Raw genomic sequence first — 14,722 nt, 5'->3', positions numbered from 1 at the left:
TCTCATTAAAGAAAAACTCATCACCAAATCCAAGGTTACCCACGTGTTCTCTCATGTTATCTTCTAGAAGTTTTCTTTTACATTGAGGATTGGATCCATTCTGCATTAATTTTTGTGAAAGATGTAAGGTGTACGTTAGGTTTTTTTTTTTTTTTTTGTCATACAGCTGTCCAGTTGTTCTAGCACCATTTGTTGAAAAGATTATCTTTCTCCATTGAATTGTCTATGCTCCTTTGTCAGAGATCAGTTGGTTCTGTTTGTGGAGGTCTGTTTCTGGGCTCTTTATTTGGTTCCTTGGATCTATTTATCTTTCCCTTCAACAATACCACACTGTCTTGATCACTGATTTTACGGTATGTGTTGAAATCTAGTAGCATCACTCCTCCAACCCTGTTCTTCTTCATAATTTTTTTGGCTATTCTGGGTCTTTTGCTTTTCCACATAAACTTGAGAATCAGTTTGTTAATATCCACAAAATAACTTGCTAGATTTTGATTGGAATTGCTTTGAATCCATAGAGAGGAAACTGTATTTTACATATATTGACAAATTATAAATCATTTTTCTTATTATTATGGAATCTCAAACATGATGAATTTTTAGGATTCAGCATATTTCATTATATATAATGTGATCATATAATTTATCATTCAAACTGAGATACTCAGAGAGTAAAACAGGGGTGCTAATTCCAAGTGCATGGGGACAGGAGGAGTAAACCGAGATGCAAGGCTATCCTACTGGCTGGGCTCCTCTTAACTAATCTACCCTATATGGTTGGACATTTTAGTGCAAACTTGACTGTTTACTATTGCAAACAATATGATGAGGATGAGCATCCAGAAAAATGCAGTCATACACTTTTTTTGATGTTTTGGTTGGGATTAATTACTAAGTATGTAATTGCTTTGTCAAAATGCATGAACAACTTTTAAAAAGACCAACTTAGAAAAATAAAACCTCACTTCATTTTAGAACAAATTGGTTCAAACGTACAAAAAATAGGTTAATGAAGAAAAAGATCTTTCATATTTTTGACCTTTTAAAATAGCTCTCATAGTAACCTACCATTTATTTAATAGCTACTGGAATGCTTAGAATAAAATTGCACTTTCTTGCTGTTGTTTAAGAAACATGCTGATGTTTTTGTTTTTTCTATTTTAATATTACATTGAACTTGGTTATACCACAAGTACAGTCAGAAAGAAAATAGGAACGTAAAAATATGATGACATTCAGGATCACTTAAAAATGGCCAACTACCACTTTAAAATTTCTTTACAAATGTATATTTGAAAGGAAATAAAACTCTTGTTTTAAGCATTTTAAAGTAAGAATTTAAAAGCTTGGGGTTTGTTTTCTTTTCCTCCTCTGTTTCAAGTTCTTACTGTAGCTCATTTTTGTGTCAGTAGTTTGAAAGCTATGTATATTTTATAGATGGTCTATACATATTGTAAGCACGGCAGAGGTAGCTAGCTGTTGACCAAAATCAATATTTCCATAGCGTTTGGTTGTAGTTTGAAGGGGCTGCCCATGAAGGGACTACATTTCGAGCTTTCCTTACAGAGAAATGTGGGAATATGATCAACTTTCATCAATAAAGCGTGAATGGAAGCAGGCGGCAGTGTATCACTCTGCACAAAGGCTGAGGAAGGGGCGCTTTCACCATGCTCTTCTCTTAACATCAACTGAATAAAAACAGAGGTGAGGACTTAGGAAATGGAGGAGCCACAGATGGAAGAAACCCAAATTATGGCATGGTTTGGAGAAGTCAGCTAATTGTCATGCGAATGAGAAATAATTTTCCATTGTACTTTAGCCTCCATACATTTTGGGGATGCATGTGTTACAACAGCTGTATGTCTGTTACAACAGTTTGGCTTACTCTAACTGATACAGCAAGGAAACTTCCTAGAATAACACAAATCTGACATGAGAAATTCATGATTCCTTGCAGCAGGATTCTTCATCAGCCAACTAGTTGGATGTCCTTGGTGTGATGCCTCTGATTTTCAGAAAAATCCCATTCATATGCTCTGTTTGGAATTATCTATTCTTCTAGGTTGCCCTGGGAAACTCCTTTTCACTTCTACAGAACCATTTCAGATATCATCTCTCTTATGAATTCTTGTGTAAGCTCTATACCCTTTTTTTGGACACAATAATTTTTTTCATCATGCCATTTAATTCTATTTTTGTATCTTTTGTATACTATTACAACTACTTGCTTACATATGTCTCCACAACAGATGTAAACAGAGAACTGAGTTCTGTAAATGCAGGAATAACATAGTATTTAATTTTGCACCACTTGAATCTAGATGGTACTTTGCTCATAGTAGGGATGTAAAAAGACTTGTAGAATGAATGAATGAATGAATGAATGAATGGTGAATGGCTCCCATATTGCTAAAGATTTATTGATTTTATAATCCATAAAGGTAAAGAGTATCACTCTACAGCACTGATTTGGAATTTTAATTACTCTTGATTCCGATGGTTCCCATCTTGGAGGCAATAATTTCTGACTCAGAACAAAGGCAACCTCAGGTGGCAGGATTTTCGGTTGGGTATTACAGTGTGCCCAAGGGAGCTGTTTGTAAGCTTAAATGTGTAACAACTCATTGAGTGAAAAGCCTTGGGAGAGAGGGGACTTGGCAGCATTGGTAACTGGGGATGCTTCAGGTTCCATTATGGCAGGCTCTGCCTTTGGCTGGGGCAGATTTCCGCCATGTTTGGGAAACACACAACTACTGGCTCCCTTGAACTCAGCACCTAAGTCAACCAGCGAATGCAAGCTGGTCTACTAAAGCTGGAAGGAACCTTAATGGTTAGTAGGCCCAACCCTTTTATAAGAGAGAATGATGGTTTGACTACCAATGATCTCCTTTTTTACTGAGGACTTTGCCCTACAATCACTGTCGTGGTTATAGAGGGATCCACCATGTTATTTCACGACCATAGTTGACAGTATAAAGCAAGTCAAGTAGAGTCTTTCTCTGGAAACTTTGGAGCTGAAACATCTAATCTCCTCTTGGTGGCTGGGCTTTAGGACATAAATCTTGGAAATTATCTAGGCTGTATTTTACTTTATGAGCCAGAGGGACAGAACAAATAAATTCACAGTAGAGAGAAGAGTAATGCAGCTGTACAAAGAGGGACACATCCAAAAGTTGGAGAGAGCACCTACCTGGGGACTGACTGTGTCCCCTGAATCTAGTTGCTCCCGAGGCTGAGCACATTCCTCTCACAGCTCTAGGTTGCTGCCCTTGTTCCTGTGAAACAGCCCAGGACCATTATGATACAATCCCTTTGTATTTAAGCCAGTTCCAGTTGGGTTTCTGTCACTTGCAATCAAAGCTGTCCTAACAAACAGGCTCCACATTTTAAAGGGAAGGAAAATGATTCTGAGGAAGAAGGATGTATTTCAACACATGATATTGGATGTGCATTCTGTCCTGAGAAAAAAGAGCATTCTCTAAATCATAAAAGTATATGCCAAACAACGGTGCATGTTATTAGCAGCTTCTCTGGAAAGACTTTACAAAAAACATTTCATTTAGAGAAACTCTACTTCTTTTGTCTTTAATTTTTGGTGGGGGCAGGGGCATGGGTGGGGAATGGTAATCTTGGAGAAACTGGGCTGACATGGCAGCTTCAGCCTGCTTTCGCTCTGCCAGTCCTCCATTCTTGCCCCAAGGGCCTAGGTTCTGATGAAGCAGAGCAGACCCCTGGCCTTGTGTACATCCCTTGTGGGGCCACCAAGAAACCAGAAAGCCAATCACCATAACATCTCTTTCACCTCCTGAAGCTGGGATGCCCAAGCCAAAGACTGATTATAATTCTCTCCAGAATCAATTAAAAGAAAGATGTTTCTATTGTACACAGGCCTGAAATGGGAAATTGGGAAGTTTCTGAGGTAGAGCCAAATGAATTTGCACATAAGCTTTGGAGTTTTGTTCATAATGCAAGGAGACTTCTTATCAGCTAAAGGAAAATAGGCACAGCTTCTCTTAAAATAAAATGAAATTTATGGACACAGGATTATAGCTGTTCCAAGCTGCCAAAAAGGCAATGTTTGTAGAACCCAAATCCTTTAGACACTCTTCCAAATCCAAGCACTACATTTTGCTGCTGATATCTGTGTTGGACCTGGTACCCCATGCACTCTGCTTCCTGCCATGTATAGTGACTGCACATCAGGGAAGGCCACCATGTTTAAAAAATTCTCAAGAAAGTTCTTGTGCTATGTTAGGTAGCCTCAGAAGCAAATGCCAGAAAGCCATAGAGCAAATGTGAGATCATTATGGTCTTTCTTGAGACCGTTGGAGAAGGGCAAACTGAAGATAACAAAACAAAACACCTCAGTGGCTTAGCCAAAAAATAACAATGAAATCTGAAAATGTAAGAATGTATGTAGGAGACTTTTTTGTGTTCTGTGTGACATGCCCTTAGCTGGCCTCTGATTTTGGCGATGGCAGACATCTCCTAAGTATGTGTTACTCTCTTACTTCAATAACCTATCACAAAGCTCTGTTTGCCTTGTTTAGGCTCTCTGGAGCCATGAAAGTTTGCTCAGCCACAGGTGCCCCAGGTAGGCTGGAAGCAATGCCTCCTGGGGTAGTCCTAAAACAATGGCTGATAGCAGTTAAACATGGATTTTCCAACTTCTAGTCTTTTGAAGGGAGGATAATGAAGTGCATGCTATAGGATTTACCAGCAGAATTGAGCCTCAGTTGCCCACAGCAGTAACAAGCTTAATAACATATATTTTACTAGATTTTCCTCTTCTGTAACACTTCCCACCTTCCCTCCCTGGAATCACCTCCCAAATTAACCATCAGCACCCAAGTCCCTAACTAAGACAGTGCTTTAGTGGAGTTCAAACTAAGACGGTATATAAATCTAGCCCTTGTTTTCATGACCATATCATTTCAGACCAACTTCCTGTTCCTTGGTAAGATCCAGTTGCCCCAAAGGCACACTTCCTTTACTATATGCAGATGCTCATTGTTCTTTTACCTCAACATCACCAAGTGAAACTGTTCTATACAGAAAGCTTCCATATAAAGGTCTCATTATTTACCCAAGACTGTGCTGCATGAACCTCCGTGTGGAATGTTTCTTTGGTAATATTAATAGAACAGCTACTTGTTTAATGAGAGTCTGCTGTGTGTTGGCCCTTTACTGTATCTGTTTATTTGGAATGTCCCTGCAAGGTAGGCTTTAGCAGTCCCACTTTTCAGGTGATGTTGAAGATTACATAGCCAATGGGTGGGAGAGTGGAAATCCAGCACAGATATATAGGGATCCAAAGTCTATGTTCTTTCTATGGGTATAGACTTTTTGAGTTTCTCTCACTTTCTTCTACAAACTTTCCCTTTCATCTGTTTTTCAGTCAATTAGACTATCATGACCATTTGCTATGGCAACTGTGCACTAGGAAAAAGGAAATACACAGATCTTTACAGAGCTATTTGATATAGAACTGAGCTGACATGGATACTAGGGGACCCAAAACAACATTATGGGCTCCTATTAGAGTGGGTTTTATGGAGGTCAGATGACAAGTGGAATTCTGGACAAGTTGATCTCACAGTGTGTCCAATGAGGCCTCACACTCAGATGCATAATTAGGATGGCAATCATTAGCAGCTGAAAGAATCCTCACATTGATTTCCTGTTATGTGGATGAAGAGGTATTATGGAAGGAAGGGCCGAGTAGAATCCCCTTAAGCTGCTCCTTCCCTGTCCTGGCCAAAGTAGTAAATCAGAAAAACATATCTCAGGAGCCATTGTGCCACTCTCAAAGACTTTAAGAATGAAATGTTGAAAGCATTCCCCCTAAAAACTGGAACAAGACAAGAATGGCCACTCTTACTGCTCCTATTCAACATAGTACTGGAAGTACTAGCCAGAGCAATAAGGCAAGAGAAAGAAATAAAAGGCATCCAAATTGGAAAAGAGGAAGTCAAATGATCTCTGTTTGTTGATGACATGATTGTATGCCTAGAAAACCCTAAAGACTATTCCAAAAGATTTCTAGACTTGATCAGTAAGTTCAGTAGTTGCAGGATACAAAAATCAACGTACAAAAATCAGTAGCATTGCTCTACGCCAGTAACGTCTAAGCTGAGAACAAAATCAGGATGCCATCTGATTTATAAAACACACACACACACACACACACACACACACACTTACACACACACAATACCCAGGAACACATTTTACCAAGGAGGTAAAACACCTCCTAAAGGAGAACTACAAACCACTGATGAAAGAAATCACAGATGACACAAATGGGAAAACATTCCAGGCTCAGAGATAGAAAGAATCAATATCATTAAAATGACCACACTGCCCAAAGCAATCTACAAATTCAAAACAATTCTTATCAAGTGACCAAAGGCATTTTCACAGAATTAGAAAAAAAACTATCCTAAAGTTTATATGGAACCAAAAAAAGATCCCGAATAGCCAAAGCAATCCTAAGCAAACAGAACAAATTTTGAGGCATCACGTTGCCTGATTTCAAGGTATTATACTATTAAAATAGCATGTAAAACTAAAACAGTATGGTCCTGGTACAAATAGACACGTAGATCAATGGAACAGAATAGAGAACCTGAATATAAAGCCACATACCCACAACCAACTGATCTTCTACAAATTTGACAAAAATAAACAATGGGGAAAGGATACTCTATTCAATAAGTGGTACTGGAAAAATTGGTTAGCCATATGCAGAAGAACGAAACTGGACCCCCGTCTCCCACCATATACAAAAATTAACTCAAGATGGATTAAAGACTTAAGTGTAAGACCTAAAACAATAAAATTCCTGGAAGAAAACACAGGAAAAACTCTTCTGGACATTGGCCTAGGCAAAGAATTAATGATGAAGACTCCAAAAGCAAATGCAATAAAAACAAAAATAGATAAATGGCCTTGCTTCCCCTTTACTTTCTGCCATGATTGCAAGTTTCCTGAGGCCTCCCCAGCCATGCAGAACTGTGAGTCAATTAAATCTCTTTTCTTTATAAATCACCCGACCTCAGGTATGTCTTTATAGCAGTGTGAGAACAGACTAATACACACATATATGTCAATTGGATGAGGAAATGATGAGGACCTCCCACTCTTTCATTCTTTGTTTAACTGAAAAAAGTGATTTTTTAATTCACTAATTAATTTTTTTCCAAATGTCTTGTAAAGAGTCGTTAAATGTACACATGGACATAGAGTGTGGAATGATAGACAATGGAGACTCAAAAGGGTGAGAGTGGGAGGGGGACAGAAGATGACAAACTATTTAATGGGTGCAATGTATGTCATTCTAGCAATGGATACACTGAAAGCCCTCAGTCCATGACTGTAGTGAATGGTTTAGTTGGTTGATTAGAGGTCTGGAGAGAATAAGATTGGAAAAAGGAAGACAAAGGCATCTGGGTATGAGTACGAGAACTGACCTATGGCAGTGGGTAGGGGATGCTGTGTCTTATTCTAATGCTCTGAGAGGTGGGCTTTTCCTAATGAATGACTCATCCTCTGAATATCCCCTAACTTCTTTCCTAGGCTACTCCAGTATTTCTGAAATGGGTTCCTGAGTAGATGACCATTGTGGTGGGGATGGAGGCCATGTGTGTGTGCCTTCTTGCCAAGATGGTGCTAGCTGCTGCCACTGCCCAATGCCCAACCTGCCAACAGAAAAGACAGAAGTTGCACTCTAAGCATAGCACCATCCCTCAAGGACATCAGCCAGCCATTAGATAGCAGGTTGATTACATCAAACACCTTTCATCCTGAACTGGGAAACAATTTGTTCTTACTTGAATTGACACTACTCTGGATATATGTTTGCCCTGTTTGAACTCAATGCCTTTGTCAACACCACTCTCTCAGGGTTTACAGGATACCTGATTTACTGACATGGGGCCCTGCACATTATTGTCTCAGATAAGGGACCATTCAATGGAGAAGGATATGTGATAACAGACAAATGACCATGGGATCCACTGGTCCAACCAGAAACAGCCAGCCTAATAGAATGACAGAATGGTCTGCTAAAGGCTTAGCTAAGTTACCATCTCAGGGATGTATCTTGTGGAATTCGGATACTATCGTCTGGGAACCATTATATACAGTAAGCCAGTGACCAGTATAGGGTGCTGTGACCCTGTAATTAGAATTCACTGGTCAGGAAACCAAAAATTGTTAGTATGATTGGTCTTTCTTTGTATCAGTCCCAGTAATCCACTTTCAGATGTTGTACTTACATCTCCCAACTGTTTTCTCTGAATTAGAGGTCTTGGCCTCAGGAAGGGGAATGCTTACACAGTAGAACAAAGAAAGGGATCCACTGAACTGGAAACTATGAATCTGGTTATTTTGGACTCTTCATGCTCGTGGACAAACACAGGAGTTATTGTTCTGGTGGTAGTAATCAGCCCTAATGCCTCTGAAGATCTTTGTTACACTGGGGTGTCTCTTGGTGTTTTCACGTCCAGAGGTAGCTGTCATTGTAGCAGCTCATTAAGGGTGAAGCAACCATAGACTTCCTTCAGTGATGAATGTCTAGGTCACAAGCAAGCCACCTAGACTTTCTGATGTACCAATTGAGGGTTAAGAAAATCTGCATTCGTAGATCCTAGTGGACTGAGGGATGGACTGTATTGGTTGTATTTTTTCTCTGTTTACATTTTCTTTGGCCATCTTTTATTCTAACTGGTGATGTGGCAACCACCTTCATGCAGCAGTAACCTAAAAGGACCATGCCTTAGTTGCACCACTGGACCACTTCTATCTCACTTTCTGCTTGGGGCGCAGAATATCTGTGGGAGCCCTCTTAGCAAACCTGGGAAAACCTGGAAATGCTGAGTTATGGACGCCCTTGACCTGTGGGGGATGAAAGCCCGTGGATAAATGCTTCCCTCTGCTGTCCCTTGGGGCCCTAATTTTGAGGCTGGGTAGAGCCTCACTGCCTTTGTTTAATGCATAGCTGTACTGGCTTTCCTTATTTCACTGTTCCCAGCCCCTGCCCCACTCCCTGGGAACACTTCCCAAAATGAACTATCTGCAGCAAGCCCTTATATCTGTTTCTGCTTTCTAGGGGAAGCCAGGTCAAGACAGAAAACCACTCCTCTCTCTTTTTCTTACTCTATGAGGTTTGGATAGAGCTAATCACTCTGCCCCATCAGACTTAGGATACATAAACCATGCATTCCCTTCCCATTGCCACAGTAATTGTTTGAAGGAATAATCTAGACATTTCTTCATTCACTGGGTAAATATCTATTGCCTGAGCACTGTGATAGGCTCTAAGAATTCAGCAATGAACAAAACAAAAAACAAATTCTTTCTCTTATATTCCAGTGGTGGGGGCAGCAGACAAACTAAGAAAAATAATAAGTATATCATGTATGAGGTGCTGATGAGTACAATGAAGAAAAATAAAGATAGACCAGGATAGGGCTTGATGGGCATAGCTACTTTGGATAAAATTGTCAGGGAAGGCCTGGAGACCTTTGATAAAGAGACATCTGGCCAGGTGCGGTGGCTCATGCCTGTAATCCCAACACTTTGGGAGGCCGAGGTGGGTGGATCACCTTAGGTCAGGAGTTTGAGACCAGCCTGGCCAACCTGGTGAAACCCCGTCTCTACTAAAAATACAAAAAATTAGCTGGGTGTGGTGGCAGGCACCTGTAATCACAGCTACTTGGGAGGCTGAGGCAGGGGAATCACTTGAACCCGGGAGGTGGAGGTTGCAGTGAGCCGAGATCATGCCATTGCACTCCAACCTGGGTGACAGAGAGAGGCTCCATCTCAAAAAAAAAAAAAAAAAAAAAGAGACATCTGAGCAGAGACCTGAAACAGGTGAGTGAATTAGAGAAGTAGATCTGGGAAATTACCTCAGACAGAAGGAATGATAAGAGCAAAGATCTGAATTGGGAGCGCGCTTCACATCCTGGAGGGCTAGGAAGGAGGCCAGCAGTAAGAGTGGGCTGAGATAGGCAGGCAAAGCCAGGCCCTGACGTCATGGGAAGCTGTTGGTCAGATCAGGCAAGGCTTTGGGGTGGACTTGGGTTTTATTGTGTCCTAGATGGAAGCCATTGGAAATTTTTGAACAGAGGAGTGATGTGATCTGACAAGGTTTGAAAGGATCACTCCAGGGGTTGTATAAATAGTAGACCGTAGGACGGGCATGGTGGCTAACACCTGTAATCCCAACACTTTGGGAGGCCAAGGCGGGTGGATCATGAGGTCAGGAGTTCAAGACCTGTCTGACCAACATGGTGAAACCCTGTCTCTACTAAAAATACAAAAATTAGCAGTGCGTGGTGGTGCGTGCCTGTAATCCCAGCTATTCAAGAGGCTGATGCAGGAGAATTGCTTGAACCCAGGAGGCAGAGGTTGCAGTAAGCTGACTGCACTCCAGCCTGGGTGACAGAGTGAGACTCCGTCTCAAAAACAAAAAAACAAAAAAACAGTAGACCGTAGAGGTCAAGGATAACAATCAAGAAGACCAGTTAGGAGGCTATGGCCGGGCTGCAGATGAGAAGTAAAGATGACTTAGGTAGCGGAGGCTAAGTGGTGGAGGTGGTGATAATTTACCAGATTCAGGATCTAATTCGAGGAAAGTGGACATGATTTGCTGACAGTGTAGGATGTGATAAAGCAGAAAGGCGTCGAGATGGTAAGCTAAAGATACTGATTCTAAAATCTGTTGGAAGTGTGGGATTGCTAATGTGAGAAAAGTATAGGCCTGGGGGCTTCGGAGCCCAATCCATGGAGGGGGTTTCCTAGATGAAACCGAAACAGAAGCCACCTGAGCTGAGCTGTGGAAGGACCCTGGGTCTAGCCAAGTTCAAAGCCACATCTGTTAACGTGGGTCTCTTTTTCTTAATCCAGTTTGAGTGGGTTTGCTTTATGGGTAACCAACTGAAGACAATGAGTAGTAATGTCAATTTCTGACAAATAAGTCAATTATTAAGCAGATGATTTATGAGAATTAAGAGAGAAACTATAGTTGTTAAGAGTCTATTGAGATGTGCAAACGTGTTGACAAATATTCTTTTCTCTTTTGTAGGATTTAATAGGTCAGGTCAGGGGAATTCTGTACATAGAGTACAACCTGAATTTACCCTAATGTTAGACAGGCGCTTGCCACTGGGAGGCTTTCTCTGACATTATCAAATGGTCAGGTGCTCTCTCTGTCATACTTGCAAGATTGAGTACTTATAGGGCCAAGCAAGGACTGGGAAATGAGCATAGCAGGTACTCAGACAATAGTGAGTGGTGGGGTCTGTGGCAAATTGGAGAGTAATGAATAATGGAAAGGCAATACAATAGTATTAGTTTAAATATATTTCCTCCCATGAGACGGAGAATATCTCTCTGGGACTAATACTTACCCATCTTATTATAAATTTATAATTGGAGCTTGGTAAATGTTTTTTGAGTGAATGAATGGAAACAGTGGGCCCAGAAAGTATTGGAATTTCTAGAACTCAGGTCATTAGCTCTGCTCTTATCCTCAGGATCTGTACGTTGATTCATCAGCTCAGTTTCAGAGAGAAATAAGATTTCTCCCCAACATCCTTTTATCATAGAATAATAATGACACAGAATAGCTTTCTTTTCATTTTCTATTTTGACACAATTTCAGACTTACAGAAAAGTAAGAATAGTACAAGGAATCAAAACCACAATGAGATACCAATGTGAACTCCCTAGGATGACTAGAATAAAAAAGACAGAAAATAAGTGTTGATAAGTGTGGAGAAACTGAGACCATCACACACTACAATGTACAATGGTGATGGGACTGTACAATGGTGCAGCCACTTTGGAAACAACTTCCACTTCCTCAAAAGGTCAAAGATAGAGCTACCATATGACCAGCAATCCCACTCCTAGGTATACGCCCAGGATAAATGAAAACGTACGTCCACAAAAACATTTGTGTGTGGATGTTCATAGCAGTATTATTCATAATAGCCTCAAAGTGGAAATTGATGAAGGGCTAAACAAAATGCAATATACCCATACAATGAAATACTATTCAGCCATAACAATAAGTGAAGTGCTGATGTAGCTACAAACCTTGAAAACATTACACTAAGTGAAAGAAGCCAGTCACAAATGACTACATATTGCATGATTCCATTTGCATTCAATATCCAGAAGTGGCAAATCTATAGAGACAAAAGTAGGTTTGTCATTTGCGATATTGTCAGTTTTGAAAAGTATAGGTCACCTGTTTTACAGAACATCCCTCAGTTTGGGTTTGTCTGATGTTTCCTCCTGACTGTATTGAGGAGATACACGTGGGGCAGGAATACCCCAGGAAGACTGCTGTGGAACCCCTCTCAATGCATCCTATTAAGAGGTGCATGATGTCAAGTTGTTCCATGACTGGTGATGTTGGCTCTGATCACTGGCCCATCATGTTTCTTTACTTGAATTGACTATTTTTCCCTTTGTAATTAATAAGTGTCTTGCAGCAGCTTTCCAGAGGCTGTGTAAATATCCTTAGTATAGGACCTTTTGGTCATGGAAGCTATGCAGCCCAAGAGTCCAATCAGAAGTGATGGAAGACCAGGTGTGGTGGCTCATGCCTGTAATCCCAATGCTTTAGGAGGCTGAGGCGAGAGGATCGCTTGAGGTCGGGAGTTCAAGATCAGCCTGGGCAATATAGTAAGACACCCCTCTCTACAAATAATTTCAAAAGTAAGTCAGGCATGGTGGTGCATGCCTGCAATCCCAGCTACTCGAGAGACTGAGGTGAGAGAATTGCTTAAGCCCAGGAGTGCAAGATTACAGTTAGCTATGATTGCACCATTGCACTCCAGCCTGGATGACAGCGTGAGACCCTGTGTCTAAACAAACAAACAAACAAAAAGAAGTTGAAGATGGAGTAAGCTTCTGCTGACTTGCCCCACCTTCCTCTTACCCCCTGGGATCCTTCGCCCTTTCAAGAAAACAACAGAAACATTAATGCTCACTTAGAAGAGAGCTCTCAGCTTCGACCATAGTAGACAATGAAAATCATTGTCACTGCAGTTAAACACTACCCCTCTAGACTGACAATTACTTGAAGGTTGGATGGTCATTTTGCCTTTGTGGCTTTTTCACCTTTCCCTAACCTCTTCCCCTGGCAAAGTCCTACCCTTCCCTCAGGCCCTGGCATAAATGTCACTTTCTCAGGGCTGACTTTCTGGACACAAGTGCCCATCCCAGGCTGGATGGGCTCCCTGTCATCTGATCTCTGCCGTTCCCTCTATGGATCTCACGCTTCACAACGGGAAGACTGTCCTGCTCTCTACTGCAGTCCTGGGGCCGAACATGGTGCCCACAAACTCACATTTGCAGCTGGATGAATGAATGAATGAACAAATGAATGACGAGCACTTTGCCTCTCTTCCCAGGATCGATTGCATGTTGTAGGCTGAATAACTCATCCCCTCCTCCCCCAATGCCCTTGTTCTAATTCCTGGAACTATGCATGTTACCTTCTATGGTCAAAGGGACTTTTCAGATGGGATCAAGTTAAGGATCTTGAGATAGGGAGATGATCCTGGTTTACCTGGGTGGGCTTGATATAATCAAAAGGATCCTAATGAGAGAGAGGTAGGACATCACAGTGGGAGAAGGTGACATGAGGACAGAAGCAGAGGTAGAAGCAGAGGTTGGAGTGATGCAGCCTGGTACCAAGGAATGCTAGCAGCCTCTAAACCCTGGGAGAGGCAAGGGAGGGACGCTTCTGGAGCCTCCGGAATGAACCAGCCCAGCTGATACCTTTAAGACCCATTTTGAACTTCTGACCTCCAGAACTGTAAGAAAACTTATTTAAATTATTTTTAGCCACTAAACATACGGTAATTGGTTACGGCAGCAATAGGAGACTGATATGCTTGCCAAACATTGCTGGCACCTCCTGGGTGTTCATCAGGTATTGAGGGCCATGCAAATGGGAATGACCTTCACCTGTGTCTCTGAGAAGCTATTATGGGAGGTCAAAAAGATGTTTGGCCATGTGATGACACCACATCACATTATTAGAGAGGAATGGGCCCAGTAGAATTGCAAAGAAGAGAAAATAACCTACGTGTGAGTAATATAGAATTCAAAGAAATGTTTTTCGAAAAAAGAATTTGTCTCAGCTTTCTTAACTCCACTATTCGTAGGAAAGGCAGATTTAATTTACTAAGAGATAATATCAGTGTTTCATAACCATAGTTTTGTTAACATTCCCACACAGGTATAGTGATCCTGTGATATAAAGCGGTACAAAGACTTCCCAGAATGCTATCAGATCCAGCCAAAAAGAAAAGAGCCCGTCAATTTTGTGCAATGGGCTGGAGTTATGGAAGAACTCACTCCAGGCAGAGATTATGGCTCTGCGCTGATGGCCCATCCAGCGTGTGTTGTGCTCCATGATTAGATCCAATTGCTGTCTTCTCGGAATGAATCAGGAGCCACGGCTCATCTCAGGGAACCAGAGGGGAGGGCACCTTTCAGCTGAACAAGGGGAAAAGGGTCAGTTCACGGCCATTGTCCACAGTCCAGATAAGTTGCTAAAGCGTGACTCTTTGGCAGCGATCTCTGCTGACTTGGGGCTCAAGTGTCACTGTGGTCTGAGAGGCCTAAAGGAGGCCTGGATAATCAAAATTTCTGTCCCACCTTCAGTGAAAAGATTCTGTGAAAACTGAGTGGGATT

This window comes from Homo sapiens, chromosome 20, assembly GCF_000001405.40.
Source record: "Homo sapiens chromosome 20, GRCh38.p14 Primary Assembly".
Taxonomy (NCBI): Eukaryota; Metazoa; Chordata; class Mammalia; order Primates; family Hominidae; genus Homo; species Homo sapiens.
Note: the sequence above shows the minus strand (reverse complement) of the source record.